At 55.3% G+C, this 18,041-nt stretch overlaps 1 protein-coding gene across 5 annotated transcripts in view, besides 6 other annotated features; it reads left to right on the top strand.

The window, feature by feature from the left end:
• The window catches only part of OSBPL5 (oxysterol binding protein like 5), a 78,204-nt gene extending 64,679 nt beyond the window's left edge, over positions 1-13,525 (top strand). For all 5 annotated transcript variants that reach the window (NM_145638.3, NM_001144063.2, NM_020896.4 and 2 more), the window contains 9 exons: positions 376-474; positions 6,298-6,395; positions 6,797-6,886; positions 6,969-7,105; positions 7,580-7,765; positions 8,074-8,200; positions 9,936-10,074; positions 10,684-10,786; positions 12,289-13,525. In NM_145638.3, the coding sequence (NP_663613.1) occupies positions 376-474; positions 6,298-6,395; positions 6,797-6,886; positions 6,969-7,105; positions 7,580-7,765; positions 8,074-8,200; positions 9,936-10,074; positions 10,684-10,786; positions 12,289-12,427 (1,118 nt within the window). In that variant the 3' untranslated portion in view covers positions 12,428-13,525. The remainder of the gene's footprint in view (positions 1-375; positions 475-6,297; positions 6,396-6,796; positions 6,887-6,968; positions 7,106-7,579; positions 7,766-8,073; positions 8,201-9,935; positions 10,075-10,683; positions 10,787-12,288) is intronic.
• Positions 6,258-7,065: an enhancer, noted in NCBI's record as "H3K27ac-H3K4me1 hESC enhancer chr11:3114797-3115604 (GRCh37/hg19 assembly coordinates)". NCBI's record gives its function as "activates a minimal SCP1, AML or CMV promoter by ChIP-STARR-seq in naive H9 embryonic stem cells {active_cell/tissue: H9 hESC(naive)}" and the evidence as "EXISTENCE:reporter gene assay evidence [ECO:0000049][PMID:30033119]".
• Positions 7,874-8,681: an enhancer, noted in NCBI's record as "H3K27ac-H3K4me1 hESC enhancer chr11:3113181-3113988 (GRCh37/hg19 assembly coordinates)". NCBI's record gives its function as "activates a minimal SCP1, AML or CMV promoter by ChIP-STARR-seq in naive and primed H9 embryonic stem cells {active_cell/tissue: H9 hESC(naive and primed)}" and the evidence as "EXISTENCE:reporter gene assay evidence [ECO:0000049][PMID:30033119]".
• Positions 7,874-9,490: a biological region, named in NCBI's record as "hESC enhancers GRCh37_chr11:3112372-3113180 and GRCh37_chr11:3113181-3113988".
• Positions 8,539-8,833: a silencer, noted in NCBI's record as "tiled region #3447; K562 Repressive DNase unmatched - State 8:EnhW". NCBI's record gives its function as "represses a minimal TATA promoter and a strong SV40 promoter by Sharpr-MPRA in K562 cells {active_cell/tissue: K562}" and the evidence as "EXISTENCE:reporter gene assay evidence [ECO:0000049][PMID:27701403]".
• Positions 8,623-8,692: an enhancer, noted in NCBI's record as "active region_4308". NCBI's record gives its function as "activates an Ori minimal core promoter by ATAC-STARR-seq in GM12878 lymphoblastoid cells {active_cell/tissue: GM12878}" and the evidence as "EXISTENCE:reporter gene assay evidence [ECO:0000049][PMID:35858748]".
• Positions 8,682-9,490: an enhancer, noted in NCBI's record as "H3K4me1 hESC enhancer chr11:3112372-3113180 (GRCh37/hg19 assembly coordinates)". NCBI's record gives its function as "activates a minimal SCP1, AML or CMV promoter by ChIP-STARR-seq in naive H9 embryonic stem cells {active_cell/tissue: H9 hESC(naive)}" and the evidence as "EXISTENCE:reporter gene assay evidence [ECO:0000049][PMID:30033119]".

Raw genomic sequence — 18,041 nt, 5'->3', positions numbered from 1 at the left:
AGTACCTGCGACTCGTGGCCCCAAGCGAGGCGTACTCCCTCCACAGGGATGTTTAAAATCTGAGCAGGGCTCAGTCGAGTTTGAAAAAGTTTGCAGCCTCCACCCTGCGAATCTGCAGTTTTGCGACTGCAATAAACCACTAACAAGTCAAAGGTGAAATAACTTCTCAGCACAGATGTCCTGTGCACACTGGACAAGGATTTTACAGAATCTGAGGCCCAGAGAGGTTAAGTGACTCACGCACAGACACACCACTGGAAGTGCCAGGAGCGTGTTCAGCTGTTGGAAGGAGCTCAGACCCTGTGACTTAGGGGTGGCCTCAGATGTGAAAGGGCTGTCCGCACTCACTGGTCCTGCTGTCTCTTGTCTCTGCAGGGAACTCGCTGTCGGCGCTGCTGGACGGCAAAGCCACGCTCACCTTCCTGAACCGAGCCGAGGATTACACCCTTACCATGCCCTACGCCCACTGCAAAGGTGAGAGGCTCAGCCACACACTCCGAGGGCAGAGCCAGGCTCTGTGAGAGCAGCTAGATGCTAAAACCCTTTGGTTATTTGCTTGAAGGTATCTTTACTTCGCCTTCATCTGCCCATGACTTTTTTTTTTTTTTTTTTTGAGATGGAGTTTCGCTCTTGTTGCCCAGGCTGGAGTGCAATGGCGTGATCTTGGCTCCAAGTAGCTGGGATTACAGGCATGCGCCACCACGCCTGGCTAATTTTGTATTTTTAGTAGAGACAGGGTTTCACCATGTTGGTCAGGCTGATCTCGAACTCCCGACCTCAGGTGATCCGCCCGCCTCGGCCTCCCAAAGTGCTGGGATTACAGGCATGAGCCACCGCGCCCAGCCTCGCCCATGACTTTTGAAGGTGGGTAATTCCATGTAGATGCTATTTTACTGCCCTTTGAATATGTGCGTTTTGCTTGCCTTGTGGCTTCCATTGCTGTTGGGGATGATCAGCTGTCAGCCTATTTGTTACCTAATCTGCTTTTCCCTGTAGCTGCTTTGAAGATATTTTCCTTGCCTTGGTGCCCTGTAGTCTTGCTACAGTGTTTCAAAGTTTGGATTTCTTTTTTATTTTTTCATTAACAGACTTTCTTTTTTACAGTAGTGTTGTGTTTACAGAAAAATTGAGCAGGAAGTACAGAGAGTTCCTGTGTGTCCCCTACACAGTTTCCCCTGTTATTAACATCTCACACTGAGGTGCTACATTTGGTATCATCGATGAGCCAATACTCATACATTGTTACTAACTGAGTACACAGTTCACCTTCCTTTTCACTCCTTGTGTTGCTCATTCTGTGGGTTTTGCTAAATACAGAAGGACATGTATCTGCCATTACCACATCTCACAGAATAGTTGCACTACCCTAAAAATCCCTTATGATTAGACGTGACTAGATGGAGCCACATATTCCTCAGTCCCTCCAGGCCCTGGCTTTTTCCGGAATGTCATGTAGTTGGAATCATACGGTGTGGAGCGTTTTCAGATTGGCGTCTTTCACTTGGCAATATGCACTTAAAGATTCCTCCACTAGGCATGATGGCTCATGCCTATAAATCCCTGCACTTTGGGAGGTAGAGTTGGGGGAATCACTTGAGCCCAAGAGTTCAAGACCAGCCTGGGCAACATGGCAAAACCCTGTCTCTACAAAAAGTACCAAAAAACTAGCCAGGCATGGTGGTGCACCTGTGGTCCCAGCCTTGGGAGGTTGAAGTGGGAGAATAACCTGAGCCCAGGGGGCAGAGGCTTTGAGGAGCCATCGTGGCACCAGTGCATGCCAGCCTGGGCTGGCGTGAGATCCCATCTCAAAAAAAAAAAAAAAATCTTTGCTGGGCTCAGTGGCTCACAACTGTAATCCCAGCACTTTGGGAGGTTGAGGCAAATGGATCACCTGAGGTCAGGAGTTTAAGACCAGCCTGACGAACATGGAGAATCTCCGTCTCTAATAAATATACAAAATTAGCCAGACATGGTGATGCATGCCTGTAATCCCAGCTACTCAGGAGGCTGAGGCAGGAGAATCACTTGAACCCGGGAGTTGAAGGATGCAGTGAGCTGAGATCATGTCATTGCACTCCAGCCTGGGCAACAAGAGCGAAACTCCATCTCCAAAAAAAAAAAAAAAAAAAAAAAAAATTCCTTCATGTCTTTTTATGGCTTGATAGCTCTGGATTTCTTTTTAATTTTTGCTGATTGAAGGTTTTTGTTTGTTTGAATTATTTGAACCTGAGGTTTCGTGGCTTTGATGAAGTCCAGAAAATTTTAGCCATTTTTTTTAAGTGCCTCACTCCTGATTTCTCCATTTTTCCTAGAACTCCAATGAGACAGAATTTGAACCATCTCCTCCTTTGCTTTGTCTCTCTTAATGTTTCCATCGTATCTCTTATCTCTTTGCATTCTAGATAACTTATGTAGATGTATCTTTAACTCTAATTAACTTGACGTGTAACTCATCCACTGAGTTTTCCATTTTGATATATTGTTTCCCAAGAAGTTCTACTTGGTTTCATTTCAAACCTGCCTGGTTTTTTTGTTTGTTTGTTTTTATTTTTGTTTTGAGACGAAGTTGGGGTTTCACTCTTGTTGCCCGGGCTGGAGTGCAATGGCATGATCTCAGCTCACTGCAACCTCCACCACCTGGGTTCAAGCAATTCTCCTGCCTCAGCCTCCTGAGTAGCTGGGACTACAGGCGCCCGCCACCACGCCCAGCAAATTTTTTGTATTTTTAGTAGAGATGGGGTTTCACCGTGTTGGCCAGGCTGGTCTCAAACTCCTGACCTCGGGTGATCCGCCTGCCTCGGCCTCCCAAAGTGCTGGGATTACAGGTGTGAGCCAGTGCGCTCGGCCTTGCCTGTTCTTTTTATACTCGTGCATTGTTCCTTGGTCATGTTTCCAATCCTTTCTCATAAATCTTTGAGCATTGTAATAAGCACAGTTGTTTTATCATCTCTAGCTGGTCACTCTCATATTCTGTTTTGTTTGCTGCTGTGTCCTCACTGACCATAGTGTTGCCCTTGAAGGTGCTCGATAATTATTCAAAGAATGGCTGTATTTAGTAAAACCTTGGGATTCTAATTTGCTAGTTTTGTGTTTGTTTGTTTTCGTTTTGTTGGCTGAAATTGTTTTGTTGGCTCTCACATTTTCTTAGTAGGTTGTTTCTGGGACACAGAGGAAGTATAGATTTGAATCCCAAACTTACCCTACACATTCATGGAGAGTTCTGGGGTTTCTTTTTAACCCCGGAGCGCAGGCCCAATACAAATGTTTCCTTGACTCTCCCTCTGGAATGAACGGCCTTTCTGCGACTGTTCCTTCTGTTGAGGGTGTAGCCATGTGAGAGTGCCTGCTTAGTGGAAATGTCTCGGAAAAAATCTCTCCTGGTTACTCTGACCCAAGGACCTGTCTACCACTTTCCACGGCAACCTCAGAAACCAAGATCTCAGATCGACAAATGCCCCTCTTTCTCTTCCCCCCTTTTCCTCTCCTCCTCCTCCCATCTTCCCCTTCTTTCCTCTCCTCCTCCTCCCATCTTCCCCCTCTTTCCTCTTCTCCTCCTTCCATCTTCCCCCTTTCCTCTCCTTCTCCTGTCTTCCCTCTTTCCTCTCCTCCCCCTCCCGTCTTCCCCCTCTTTCCTCTTCTCCTCCTCCCACCTTCCCCCTCTTTCCTCTTCTCCTCCTCCCATCTCCTCCCTCTTTCCTCTCCTCCTCCCGTCTTCTCCCCTTTATTTTTTCTTGTGGGAGAATTCCCATCTTTTCTTGCATGCTCATTGACTCATCCATGCTTCATATATTTTTTCAACTTTTTATTATGGCAAAGTTCAAACATATATCAAAGTACAGTACACCCCATATACCCACAGCACAGCAATGCACCCACCTTCATGCTCTCCCCTGAATTAATTGGAAGTAAATCCCAAATATCATGTCATGTCATTTGTGTATTTTATTTTATTTTATATCACTAAAGTTAAGGATTTCCCTTCTTTCTTTCTTTCTTTCTGTCTTTTTTTTTTTTTGACAGAGTCTTGCTGTGTTGCCCAGGCTAGAGTGCAATGGTGCAATCTCAGCTCACTGCAACCTCCGCCTCCTGAGTTCAAACGATTCTCCTGCCTCAGCCTCCCGAGTAGCTAGCATTACATGCGTGCGCCACCACACCTAGCTAATTTTTGTATTTTTAGTAGAGATAGGGTTTCACCATGTTGGCCAGGCTGGTCACAAACTCCTGCCCTCAGGTGATCAGCCTACCTCGGCCTCCCAAAGTGCTGGGATTACAGGCGTGAGCCCCCACGCCAGGCCGGGATTTCCCTTCTTAACCATAGCCACAATACTATCATCAGATGAAAAACAAACAAACAAACTCTTAGTTGTCATCGAGTCTACAATCTGGTTCATATCCCCAGCTGCCACGTGCCTGTGTCTTGATCCCCCACACACGTGACAGTTGGCCGTTTGGCTGGGTCTCTGCATCAGGCCATGCTCCGTGCATGGATGTCCTATGTTTACATCTCCTTGATGTCCCTCCCTCCTGTTTTTCCCTTGCAGAGTATTACTCATTTCCTCCTAGTCCCCTCTAGCATGGATTTTCCTGGCTGCATTCCTCTGCCCTGGGGATTTCCTATAAACCACGAATTGATTTGATCTCGAGATGCCTGATCACGTTCAGCACAGTTTTTTTCAACACGACGCTTAATGGGGGTTTTGTGTCTTTCCACAGCAGGGTGCACAGGGCCTGTTGTTCCTTGTGACATTAGTGGACATTGATTCTCAATGCCTGGATCCATTCATGTAAAAGGCATTGCTAGATGGTGACGTTCCATCCTCTTTCACTTAATCACCGGAAGGCTTCTCAAAAGAGAAACTTCCCCTTGTCTACTATGTGGTTACCCAACAGGATTGGTTTGTTTTAGGATAAATCCCAGGTTTTTTATATTTTCAAAATAATGATTTTTTTCCCCTGCTGTCTTCCAAAGGTGACTGGCGAAGGTCATTATTGCCACGTATTATTTGATAGGAACGTATTTGGTGATTTCAGAACCTTTCAGTTATTAACTTTATTGATATTGAAATTGCCCCATCTTTGGCCAATGGGGGCCATAGTTGGCTCAGGGGCCCCCTGCACACCCCAGTACCTCTGCTGGTATTCTTCCTTCTGCCCTGACCATGTGTGCACCTAGGACATTTCCTACACTAGACCTCAAATCGACCATTTCTCCCGGGAGCTCCAGGTTCCCTTCACTAGGAAATAATATTTAGTGATCACAATCTGGAGGTCAGACCTGCTTTGCTTTTCTTTCTTTTCTTTTCTTTTTTTTTTTTTTTTTTGAGACAGAGTCTCACTCTGTTGCCCAGGCTAGAGTGCAGTGGTGTGATCTTGGCTCACTACAACCTCCGCCTCCTGGGCCTTCTTCCTCTCCGTGGAGCCTGGAGACCTCCCCCCATCAGAGCTGCACAGAGATGCCGCTTTGTCTTTCTAGGCTGCATAGCTTTCCATCGTGCTCATGGGCCAGGGTGCACTCACACAGCCCCCTCTGGAGGGATTTGGGGGTGTTTCAAGCCTTTGTTGCAACAAGTAGCTTGTTGTTTCTTTTCTTCATTTTTAAGAGACATATTCTGCCACACATTTCTAAGTGGTTTTTAGAGTGCAAATGTTTGGGTTTTGATGGTGGAGGTGGTGGTGCTTCTTTAATTAGATTACCTCCTCCATATGCCAGACATGGAAAAGTTGTTCTTTCCTTCATTAATTGAAAAAAAACAAAACAAAGAAAGACGTATTAATTTTTTTAAACATACGGGATGCCATCATGGGTGCTGGTGCCCTCTGTGTTCTGGGTGCCATCCTGGGACGCAGCAGTGAGCGAGAAGATGCCTGCCCTCAGGAGCCCAATGCCAGAGCGGGAACTGCAGAGTCAAGTGAAGCACGATGCATGTCTCACAGGGCTGGTGGCCTCCCAGGAGGCTGGAACAGGAGGCGACACCTGACATGAGCAAAGGCCCTGGCGAGGACAGAGCCCCCTTAGTGGGGGAGACGGCCCCTGAGGGACCAGGCGTGCCTCCCAGGCTCCGTGCCTCCCAGGCTCCGCACCTCCCAGGCTCCGCACCCCCACCAGCCTCTCCCTGTGGGGTTCTGCTCCCAGCGCCTCCTGTCCTTCTCACCCTCCCAGGGACTGACACAGGCCTCCCAGGGATCGGTGCTGCTGGGTCGGGACTCAGGGATCGGTGCTGCTGGGTCGGTACTCAGCAGGGCCTGGGGCTCAGCAGGGCTGGGGCCGCCTGGCCCCTGACACTGGCTGCATTTCAGGAATCCTGTATGGCACGATGACCCTGGAGCTGGGTGGGAAGGTCACCATCGAGTGTGCGAAGAACAACTTCCAGGCCCAGCTGGAATTCAAACTCAAGGTAGCGCTGGCTGCAGCCTGGGGGAGACGAGGCCAGGGAAGGAACGAAGCCTTGGGGATCCCCCTCACACTCTCCCCAGGCCCCAAGGAAGGTTCCCCAAGGCAGTGCACATAAGGGGAGCAGCTGTTGACATCCCGGAACACAGACAGGGCCCAGAGAAGGGAGGCTGCTGCCTGCAGCCACACAGCAGAGCCAGCCTAGGCCCTGTCTCTGTGGCAGGGACACTACATCCTTGAGCGGAGGCGTGGGGGTCCCGAAGGCCTCGTTGGCGAGGGTTGGGTCCATCCCTCCTGGGCTCCCAGGCACCCCAAGAGAATAACTGTTCCGTGCCCCCATGAGGATGTGATTCTGGAGGCCCCAGCCCCCGCTCACTGGGCTCTGTTCTGGGTGTGGCCCCGCAGCCCTTCTTCGGGGGTAGCACCAGCATCAACCAGATCTCGGGAAAGATCACGTCGGGAGAGGAAGTCCTGGCGAGCCTCAGTGGCCACTGGGTAAGGGGCCGTCCCTCAGGGCAGGCACGGCCGGGCGGTCAACGCCAGGCCAGCCTCTGACCCCGCTGGCCATCTGGGGCAGGACAGGGACGTGTTTATCAAGGAGGAAGGGAGCGGAAGCAGTGCGCTTTTCTGGACCCCGAGCGGGGAGGTCCGCAGACAGAGGCTGAGGCAGCACACGGTGCCGCTGGAGGAGCAGACGGAGCTGGAGTCCGAGAGGTGAGGCCTGTCAGCGCCCAGGGACCCTGCTGACCACAGCCTGACATGGCCAAGCAGGCAGGTCAGCAGGGCTACAGTGCTGTGAGCATGGCCCCAGGATGTCCCTGGCAGGGAGGGCAGGCCTGGTGCACCCCTGGTGGCAGATCACGTGTCCTGGAAAGGACAGATGGAGGGAAGGGGTGTGGCCTGGAGAGGAGCCGGCTGCCGTGACCTCTCACTGCATCACTGCCGGCGAGTGACCAACAGGTGCACAGGGAGGTCCCTGCAGGCGGGAGATGGGAGCTCAGTGTTGGAAAAACCCATCTCATGGACAAAAGAAAAGCTCTCTTCAAAGTAGTGAGCTCCCTGTCACTGTAGGCAATCACGCAGAGGTTGCTCTGTGCCTTCCTTCTGGTGCCAAGGGGCCCTGATTCCTAGCTGCCTAGGGGTCGGGCTGCCCGGGCCACTGGCTCAGGATGGGTCACTGGCCCGCAGGCTCTGGCAGCACGTCACCAGGGCCATCAGCAAGGGCGACCAGCACAGGGCCACACAGGAGAAGTTTGCACTGGAGGAGGCACAGCGGCAGCGGGCCCGTGAGCGGCAGGAGAGCCTCATGCCCTGGAAGCCGCAGCTGTTCCACCTGGACCCCATCACCCAGGAGTGGCACTACCGATACGAGGAGTGAGTGCCGACAAAGCCCTGGGGGCCACAGGGTGGGGCTGGGCCTAGCAGACGGGCTGAGAAGGGCCCAGGGGCTCCTGGCTTCCCTCTCACCTTCAGCCTGTCCCCTGGAGGAGTCGGTGGGGGAGGGTCAGATAGTGACACCCCCCATCATCAGTCCTTACTGCAGGCCCTGCCCATGGGGTGTGGGCAGTGGTCATTCTCCTGGAGGTCTCTGGCCACTGTTGGGGGGCTGAAGACTGGGCCAGGACAGCCCCCTCACCTGAGGGCCACTGCCTGTGCTGATGAACGCCCTCTGGACCCTCCAGCCACAGCCCCTGGGACCCCCTGAAGGACATCGCCCAGTTTGAGCAAGACGGGATCCTGCGGACCTTGCAGCAGGAGGCCGTGGCCCGCCAGACCACCTTCCTGGGCAGCCCAGGGCCCAGGCACGAGGTCAGCACCCCACAGGCCCCACCCAGGGCTGGTCTTAGCTGCACGTGTGGCCACCACCACCCCTCGCTCCTCACCTCACTCCTCCCTTCCCCTCGCTCCGTTTCCCTCACGCCCTCATCCCCCAGCCCCCTCGTCCCCTTTCCTTCTCTGCCGAGCATGGGACTCAGGAAACCGGGATTTGCAGGATGCTCAGTTCTAGGGGCACCTTGGCTTGTGGGACCCTGTGTCTACTGTCTCTGTCCACTGCCCCCAAAGTCTCCCTCTGCCAAGTTAGCAGCCACATTATCCCATTCCACTGATCAGGAAACAGAAGGTCAGGGCAGCCCAGGGCCCTTCCCAGGTAGGAGGAGGAGGAGCCAGCACTTGCACAGATCTTGTGTCTGGAAAGGGGAAGCGGGACAGCAGGAGGCTCCAGGGAGTAACCTGAGGAAGCTGCCTTGGGTGTGTCTTGGTGCCATGCCTTAGGCGGCCACCAGGTGGCGCCAAACCCACACGCCCCCGTTCCAGGTGTGCTGAGCTGCACCGCCCCAGCCGTGCACCTACTGCGTGCAGAGGGTGCAGAGCGCGGCCGGTGCTCACCCGCAGCGGACAGGATGGGGGCGTGTTCCCCAGCTGATGCCGTCTGGGCCAGACTCAGATGAGAGGCCTTGCTTGCCTGATGGCCCTAACTTCTCCAGCAAGCTGGGGGCCGCGGTATCTCCTTGGCTGCATGTCCCATGCTCTGCCTGCCAAGGGACTAGGGAAGAAGCCTCAGGAAGGTAGACAGATGCACCCCCTATGTCTGCAGCACAGTCTCCATCCCCCCGGGCTCAGGCCAGACTGCTAGCTCCTGCCTTCCCTTGGCCCCAGACCCTCGCAGTCCCGCTCCTCAGCCTCTCCCCACCAATCTCCAGCAGATGTCCACCCCCAATGCCCTCTGCAGCCTCCCACCCCGCAGCCCCTGCTGAGGTCAGTCAGCCTGGGCCCTGCCATGCCTCAAAAACCATCCCATGGAGTACCTTGTGGCCAAACCCACCTGCCCCGCCTCTGACCCCACCTGTCCTGGCTCTGACCCCACCTGCCCCGTCGCTGACCACACCCAATGCAGAGCGTCCCTGGCACCTCTCTGGCCCCAAACGCCTGTTGTTACATGGTGGTCCCACAGCCAGGTTCTGCTTTTTCCCCACCCCTGAGCATCAGTTCCTGTCCTGGGTTCCTTGTGAGCTCAAGTAAGGGCTGAATGGATGAGCCCTGCCTGCACTCCTGGGGTTGTGAGCAGCCGGCTGAGTGTGGGGGTTCCCCCCTGGAGATGCCCCTTGACATGGGGAACCCTAGCCATCTGGGGTTCCTATGAACCTCCCAGCTCCCACAGTGGCCTCGGCTTTCATCTGTCCTCATGGCTCAGGGGTCAGAACCACCCTCGGCCCCCCATGCCATCATCTCTGCATTTATTGGATGCAACGCCATGGTGAGCACAGGGCAGGCGTGTCTGCACCACCTTGCAGGCCCTTGCTCACTGTGAGGGGTCAGTAGCTCTGTCTCACCCATGAGGAAACAGGCTCAAAGGGACCATGGCTACTCCAGGCCATGCCGGGGCTGAGACAGACCCCTCCAGCCAGCTCCACAGCCCAGCAGCTGCCCTCCCTGCTGGCTGCCACCTCTAGCACTGTCCTGGCATAAGCATGCCACCATGTCCCTGGGGCCTGGGCAGGGGGCGTGGGTGGCTTTCAGCTGCAGCAGCTCCATTTCTCTGCAGAGGTCTGGCCCAGACCAGCGGCTTCGCAAGGCCAGCGACCAGCCCTCCGGCCACAGCCAGGCCACGGAGAGCAGCGGATCCACGCCTGAGTCCTGCCCAGAGCTCTCAGACGAGGAGCAGGATGGTGACTTTGTCCCTGGTGAGCCCCCTTGGGCCCAGCCCCAAGGCCTCTGTCTGGTGGGGTGCCTCAGATGCTGACCTGGCTGGAGGGGAGGCCAGAGAAGCACCTGCCCAGATGTAGGGCAACCTCCCAGCAAAAGCTCCTCTGCTGCCCTGAGGGGCCCCCCAGCAGGCTCTGCCCTCTCAGAGTCTGGGAGGCAGCCCAAGGGCCAACGGGGGGAATGGTGGGGGTGGGGAAGAAAGGGAGTGGGCCCAGGCCAGGGGCTCCCCAGCGGTGGGAGGGGCAGGTCCAGTGGCATCCTGCCCCAGCCCTCTGCTCCTTTCCTGTCACCAGGAGCTGTGTCTCCCCAACTTTGTCCCTGCCTCTGTAATGGATGGGCCTTGCCTTGGCCACTTCTGCCTCCCAGGCCTGTTAGTGGCTGGTCCAGCCTGGGGGTTCCCTCCAGAAACATCCTCAGCACCCCTCCCTCATCTCCGTGTCTTCAGCTTGGCCCTGCAGGTTTCCCATGAGGTGGGGTGGAGGCCCGAGCTGGATATGACCCTGTGACCCACGTGCCAGCCCCACTGGACCTCCAGCTCATCCTCACTCCTCCCCTCCCCTCCTTTGTCTCACTCGGGGCCGTCCCAGGCGGTGAGAGCCCATGCCCTCGGTGCAGGAAGGAGGCGCGGCGGCTGCAGGCCCTGCACGAGGCCATCCTCTCCATCCGAGAGGCCCAGCAGGAGCTGCACAGGTGGGCCACACTCAGGGTGTCCATCCAGACTCCGGGTCAGAGAGTGCGAGAGACCTGGTAGAGCTAGGGCGGGAGGTGGGGAGGCCAGGAGGCCGCGGCTGGGGTTGTCATCGGAGCTGGAACCCACAAGACCTGCAGGGTGATGAAAGGAAGACAACCGCCGAGGGCAGGAGAGAGGGTGTGGGAGCGGCAGGTGGTGCGGGATGATCAACCAGCCAAGTTGGCCATGCCTGGCAGATACTGAGCTGGAGATGTCCTGAAGCCTAGAGGAAGGTGCCAGCCCAGCATGGCCTGGGGTAGCCCCAGGAGAGACCTTGAGGTGTGCAGAGCGAGGTGGCAGCCTGGGCTCACTGTGGTGGCCCCATACCTGCGCACAGTGGCTTCTCAGGAATGGCTGGGGAAGGAGCAAATGGGAGTGGCCGAGAGCTGGCAGGTGCAGGCCACCAGGGCCACATGGCCCCTTCCTGTCAGCAGATCCCACCAATGAGGAGCAGAGCACAGGGTCCCTCTCGGGTCCAAAGCTCCTGACTCTGAGCCAGGCTGAGGGTCTCACTGGCTGTGGGACCTTGGCTGTCACACCTCAGCCTCCCCTCTGTAAAGTGGGCTTGATAGCAGTACCCCAGGGTGAAATGCAGCCAGGGCACAGGCCCGGGCTCTGTGAGGCTCAAGAGCCTTGGGGAACTGTCATTGTCCCTGTGTAAGCATTTCCAGAAGGTGCTCCCTGGTGAGGCTGTGTGGGCAGAGAAGCAGGGAGGCCTGGCTCCCCAGAAGCAGGTCAGCTGTCAGGCAGGTGGCCAGGACTCAGCCAGAAGCTTCTGCAGCAAACTGGATACCGCCTCAGAGGCCAGGTCCTCCACGGCAAAGTACTCCAGCTCAGGGCCAGGGCCTCCACAGCAGAGTACTGCCGGCAAGGGGCTCGGACAGCGCGTCTACTCCCTCGCGGTCCCGGAGGCTGGAGTCCAAGATCTCGGTGCCACAGGGCTGGTTTATCCCGAGACCTCTCTCCTGCCTGGCAGACGCCAGCTTCTCGCTGTGTCTGTGTCTTCATCTCTTCTTCATATAAGGACACCAGTCCCATGGGACCAGGGCCCACCCTAATGGTCTCCATTTAAATAAATACCTCTTTAAGGACCCCATCTCCAAATACAGTCTTATCTAAGGTGCAAGGGGTTAGGACTCCAACATATGAAGGTGGCAGAGGCATGACTCAGCCATAACCACAGGGGTGGGAGGGAGGATGTAAAAGGCTGACTCCCCAATCCCTGACCCTCCTCTGCCCTGAATGTGCCCAGGGAATCCCAGTATAGCCATGGTGCTGTGGGGCCCTCCCACTAACAAGCTTTCCACCCCCACCCGCTCTGTTGCCCCTGGAGGGCCATCCCATCTCCACCTCGGCCCTGTGTCCAGCACCTGGTCAAGTACCCAGGGCACTGTCCTGGCTTGTGGGAGGGGGACTTGCTGGCATTGGCACAGCCCCCACGATCTGTCGCCTGTCCTTGCAGGCACCTCTCGGCCATGCTGAGCTCCACGGCACGGGCAGCACAGGCACCGACCCCAGGCCTCCTGCAGAGCCCCCGATCCTGGTTCCTGCTCTGCGTGTTCCTGGCGTGTCAGCTGTTCATTAACCACATCCTCAAATAGGAGCCCTGAGGGCAGAGCTCCTGGCCGGTCCTGAGCCCTCCCTCCCAGGCACCCAGCACTTTAAGCCTGCTCCATGGAGGCAGAGAGGCCCGGCAAGCACAGCCACTGTGACGGGGAGTCCAGGCGCAGGAGGGACCCGGGGCCACAAGGCGCTGCGGGCCCAGGTGTGCTGGGCCCCTCTCAGGGGCACTGGCCTCTCTGCAGGGCCTTCCGCCCAGCGCTGGCCTTAATGCTAAAGCCAAATGCAGCTTCTGCTGTGCGACGCACTCCTGGCCATCTTGCCGTGTCACCCCCTGTCCGGCCTCCACTTGCCATGGGGGATGGATGGATTTAGGGTGGGAGGGCCTGTGGGGGCCCTGGACAGTCACACCCCAGCAGCAGTGAGTGGGCAGGTTTGGAGGAGCCCCGAGTGGCCCAGGAGTCCCCCCACACACAGATGCATAGGCCTGCCTTCCGGAGACCCTGTCCACATTGCCGGGACCACCCTGGTGGGGCCACTGGTGGGTGCCAGGGACAGGTTAGGGCCACTCTGGGGAAGGCATTTTGGTTTTTTATTCCACGCTGTGCTGTTTGGATGGGAGCCCCACAGAGGCAGGTCCTGGAACCACCCCACCCCCACACCTGGACGCTCGCTCTGGTGGGGGCACACGCAGGTGGAGGTGGTTGTGGGTGCAGGTGTGTGCAGGGGTGTGGGGGGCGCAGGGGTGTGGCTTAGCTGGCCCCGCACCCAGGCCGGGGAGGCTCAAGTTCGCCACTTTACTCAGACCGATGCACAGTCTTCCCATTTTACACTTTTTTAATAAACATAATTGCAATATTTTAGGTGGGCTGCGAGCTGCAGTCAGCCTTCACGTCTGGCCTCAGTCCCCGTGTCAGTGCCGCTCTGCGTGTGCGTGTGCGCGTGTGTGAGCCTCTACACATATATATACGTACAGAGCCTTAAACCACATCGTGGCGGTGCCGTCTGAGCTGTAGCGGGTGGCTTTGTTTCCAGTTTTTGTACCCGTGTCCTTGTCTCCCCTCCTCCCCCATCTGGGGATGTGTCTGTGTTCCACACCTTGAAATAAACAGACACATACGTGTTCTCTTCTTGCGGGACTTCTGGAAACGAGAGGAGGGCTTCCCAGGAAGACTCAAGGCCAGCATGGAGCTGTGTGGGGCTGGGTGGAGGGGCCCGGGAGGGAGGAGGGTGCAGAGTTCACAGGGAGCTGTGGGCAGCCTGCCCGCCCTGTGGAGCAAATGCTGGGAGGCTGGCGTCCCATCACCCAATGAGCCAGTGGGGGACACAGAGTGACACTGCCCACAGGCACTCCAGGCACCTCAGAGGCTGCTGGGGGGCATTGGCACAGCCCCTGAGGCCAATGCTGCCAGTTACTGAAGGGGACCCCCCCTGGCTGGACCACCTGGCCCGCTGCCCCTTGCTTCGGTTCCACTGTGGCCACCACCCCTGGTACTCAGACACCAAGGCCAGTGAGTGGGCCTGCTCAGGGTGCCCCTGAAGGCGGGGTGGGGGCACCTGACCACAGGCCTCAAGTGACAGCAGAGGGAGACTGCAGCCCACCCCTCACAGCAACCAGAGGACAAGGGTGATGAAAGGGAGGGCAGCCAGGCAGCACCCAGGAGAGGGGGACACGAGGGGCCTCGGGTCACCACCTCCCTTCTGCACCTCCCCACCTCGACCCCCAAGGCCCCAGGAGAGGAGGGGCTGTGGCTGGGGTGGAGGGAGAGGCAGGGGGTCCTGCCCCCCAGCTCCTCTGAGGAGCCTCATGTCCGCCTCAGACAGCCAGGACTCCCAAGACCCCCCCGAACCACCTGGAGGATGGGGCGGGGGGCCCTGCCTGGCTCCAGTGCCCCTCTGTGGAGGCCACACACCATGGGGCAAACATGAGCTCAGAGTGTGAGCCCTGGGGGTGACAGCCTTCTGCATCTTGATGGCGGGGCAGGCTGTTCCAGACACCCCGCCTGGGACCCCTATCTTGCCTCCTGCACCCCAGGCCCACGCGGAGCAAACGTGCTCAGCCAGGTGCCCTGCCCAGAGACAGCCTACCCAGGGGTCTGCCTCCCACCAGCTCCAGCTCACCACAGGGCAGGCCCTCCACCTGCACCCCAGCACCTTCACACACACAGGGGCAAGAATGGAATCCCCTCCAGAATTCTCCCTCTATCTTACTAAGAACTGTTTATTTTTTAACTTATTTTTGAGACAAGGTCTCACTCTGCCACCCGGGCTGGAGTGCTGTAGTCTGATCGAAGCTCACTGCAGCCTCGACCTCCCAGGCTCAAGCAATCCTCCTGCCTCAGCCTCCAGAATAGCTGGGACTACAGACACACACCACCATGTCTAGCTCATTTTTTTTTAGAGACAGGAGTCTGACTATGTTGCCCAGGGTCATAAACTCCTGGCCTCAAGCGGTCCTCCTGCCTTGGCCTCCCAAAGTGCTGGGATTACAGGTGTGAGCCATGGCTCCCAGCCTCTTGCTAAGAACTATTTTAAATCAACAAGGAAGAGAAAGCAACTATCCCAGAGGGAAAAAAAACAGAGTCCAGACCCCAGTGTGTCCAGGGTGAGCATAATCCTGAGGGAATAATTGAGCTGATGCCCAAAAAGGTGCCTACACAGGTGTTCAGGGGGCACTTTACAACAGTCGTCACCTGGCCTCCGTTTGCAACTTTGCAGGAGGTGGAAGGGAGAGCACCTGACCAGCATTTCAAATGTTCAACAAGATTCACTGTAGCCAGTGTCACTATTTGGAGAGCTCCAGATGTCACTCTTTGGAGCTCCTGGGGCAGGATTCATCAAATGAATATGCCATAGAGGCTGTCAAGGTTCAGGGGAAATCAACTCATCTGAAATCGAAAGCCCAGGCTGCACTGATTATATTGAAGAGGGCGCAGTGAGAGCTTCCAGCTCATCAGAAGAAAATCCTCCATGCCTCCAACCGTGTTGGTATCTCAGCTGCAGGGCTTACTGCAGATGCCAGACTGTGATGGATTTCATGCGCCAGGAGCGTTTGATTCCAGATGTGTGTTTGACACTCTTCCTCTGTGTCCTGTTGTATCTCTAATTGGGAGCAAGACAGAAACCAGCATAACAGGCTGGCTGGAGACCTTATGGTGCTTGTTGCTGGCTGTGATGACAGGTGCCACCATATTTTCTTTTCTTTTTCTTTTTCTTTTCTTTTTTTTTTTTGAGACAGAGTCACTCTGTTGCCCAGGCTAGAGTGCAGTGGCACAATCTCAGCTCCCTGCACCCTCCACCTCCCAGATTCAAGCGGTTCTCATGCCTCAGCCTCCCGAGTAGCTGGGATTACAGGCACGCGCCACCATGCCCAGCTAATTTTTGTATTTTTAGTAGAGACGGGGTTTCACCATGTTGGCCAGGCTGGTCTTGAACTCCTGACCTCATGATCCACCAGCCTCAGCCTCCCAAAGTGCTGGGATTACAGGCATGAGCCACCACCCCTGGCCAAGCCCCCCCATATTTTCCAAATCTGTCCATCTGGGATTTTGACCGCAGAGCTATGTCCACTGAAGCTCATTCTCAATCAGCTCCTACTTATGTGGAGAGACTTGTGTAAGTTTATGGAGTATGATTCGAGTGAGCTGCTTAAAGTGGTCTGCATGCCTTAAGAGAGACATTTCTGCAAGGCAGGACTTAACTACACTCAATGTTTCTGCTGGAATTGCTGGCAAAGGTATGGGGCTTACCACCTGTGGTGATGATGCTGCGTCTCCATTCCTGGAAAGACCTGGAGAAAGGTCACAGAGGAAAGCACGGCCCGCTGCACCTGCCGACGCACCTGCAGAGAAGGCTGGCGACCTGGGGACCATCCTGAGAAACCAGGATATATGTGCATTACCAAATACACAGAGTGAGGAGCAGGCAGTAATGACACTAATCTACACTTAGAGCCCGAAGCTGCGGCGTGGTTGGTCAGTGTGCTTTAAGAATCAGTCCAGACATGAGTTTCTTCCAAGCAACCTCACCGAAACCATACCATGGAGGGCCTCTCTCTCAAGGGGGCCTATACACTCGTTCTCCAGAAAGTACAGGTATCGGCACAAAGACAATAGTGTCATTTCGGTTTAAAGACAACTGTAGAATAAAATTATGAAAACAAACAAATAAAATAATAAAACCCTGAACATGGTTTTTGGGTCCATCATTGAAGGGTTCCCCAGGTGGGTTTTGTATGTGGACCCTGGAGAGAAAACAGCAGGTGGTGATATTTGCTGATGATGGGGGTGTCCAGAGCTGTGCCTCCTGCCCTACTGCAGCAGGGCACCCCTTCCTGGTCTCAGTCCCCAGTCTTCCCCTGCCCTGAGCCATGCCATTTGAGGGGCTATGCCTGGCTAAGCCACCTGGGCTTCTGTTCCACGTCCCAGACCGGACAGCAGAGTGCAGGAGCAATGGTGGCCTTTCCCCAACCTGCCCCTGTCCCCCAATCTGCTCAGAAAATATTGTGGGAATGAGGGAAGGAGGAGGGACAGACGCAGGGGGTGCTGGCTGAGCACCAGAACTGGAAAGGACCCCTAAGACATCTTGGGGGGAGAACAAGGCTAGAGGTGGTGCTTGCCCTGGAGGGGCTGGGGAAGGGGAGGCCAGCGAGGAGCCCCCTTTTCTCTTCTGCTGAGCAGGGCTGGTGGAGCCTGGACCCTCTTGGGGTGCAGGTCAGGGGTGAAAGTCAAGATACCTCTTCCCCTCCCTAGGAAGTGGCCAGGCAGCAAGGAAAACCTCTTGGGCTAGGCCGGGGGGCAGGGGTACTGGGGAAGGGATGGGGAGGGCCCGTGCTGGGGGACGCTGAATTCCGAAGCCCGGTCAGTGGCTTTACAGTTTTAGCTCTTATATTTAGGTCTTCGACAAATTGTAAGGAAATACAAATCAAAACTACAATGAGTCAACACTTCAGATGTCTTCAAGGTATATTCACATTGTTACATGTGCCAGAATTTCCTTCCTTTTTTTGGCTGAATTGGTATTTTCTTGTATGAATAGACCACATTTTGTTTATCCATTCATCTGTTCATGGATACTCAGTTTTTTTTCCTTCTACCTTTTGGCTATTATAAGTAATGCTGCGGCCGGGCGCGGTGGCTCACGCCTGTCATCCCAGCACTTTGAGAGGCCAAGACAGGCGGATCGCCTTGAGGTCAGGAGTTTCAGACCAGCCTGGCCAACATGGTGAAACCCCGTCTCTACTAAAAGTACAAAAATTAGCCGGGCATGGTGTTGGGCACCTGTACTCGGGAGGGTGAGGCATGAGAATCGATTGAACCCAGGGGGCGGAGGTTGCAGTGAGCTGAGATTGCACCATTGCACTCCAGCCTGGGTGACAGAGCAAAACTCCATCTCAAAAAATAAAAAATAAAGAAATAAGTAATACTGCTCACTGTTCACAATAGCAAAGACATGGAATCAACCTAAATGCCCATCAATGGTAGACCAGATAAAGAAAACGTGGTACATATATGCCACGGAATACTATGCAGCCATAAAAAAGAAGGAGATCATGTCCTTTGTAGGAACATGTAGCAAACTAATGTAGGAACAGAAAACCAAATACCACATGTTCTCACTTATAAGCAGGAGCTAAATAATGAGAACACATGAACG

Source organism: Homo sapiens, chromosome 11 (genome assembly GCF_000001405.40).
Source record: "Homo sapiens chromosome 11, GRCh38.p14 Primary Assembly".
Taxonomy (NCBI): domain Eukaryota; kingdom Metazoa; phylum Chordata; class Mammalia; order Primates; family Hominidae; genus Homo; species Homo sapiens.
Note: the sequence above shows the minus strand (reverse complement) of the source record. Positions and strands in the feature narration are given on the sequence as shown.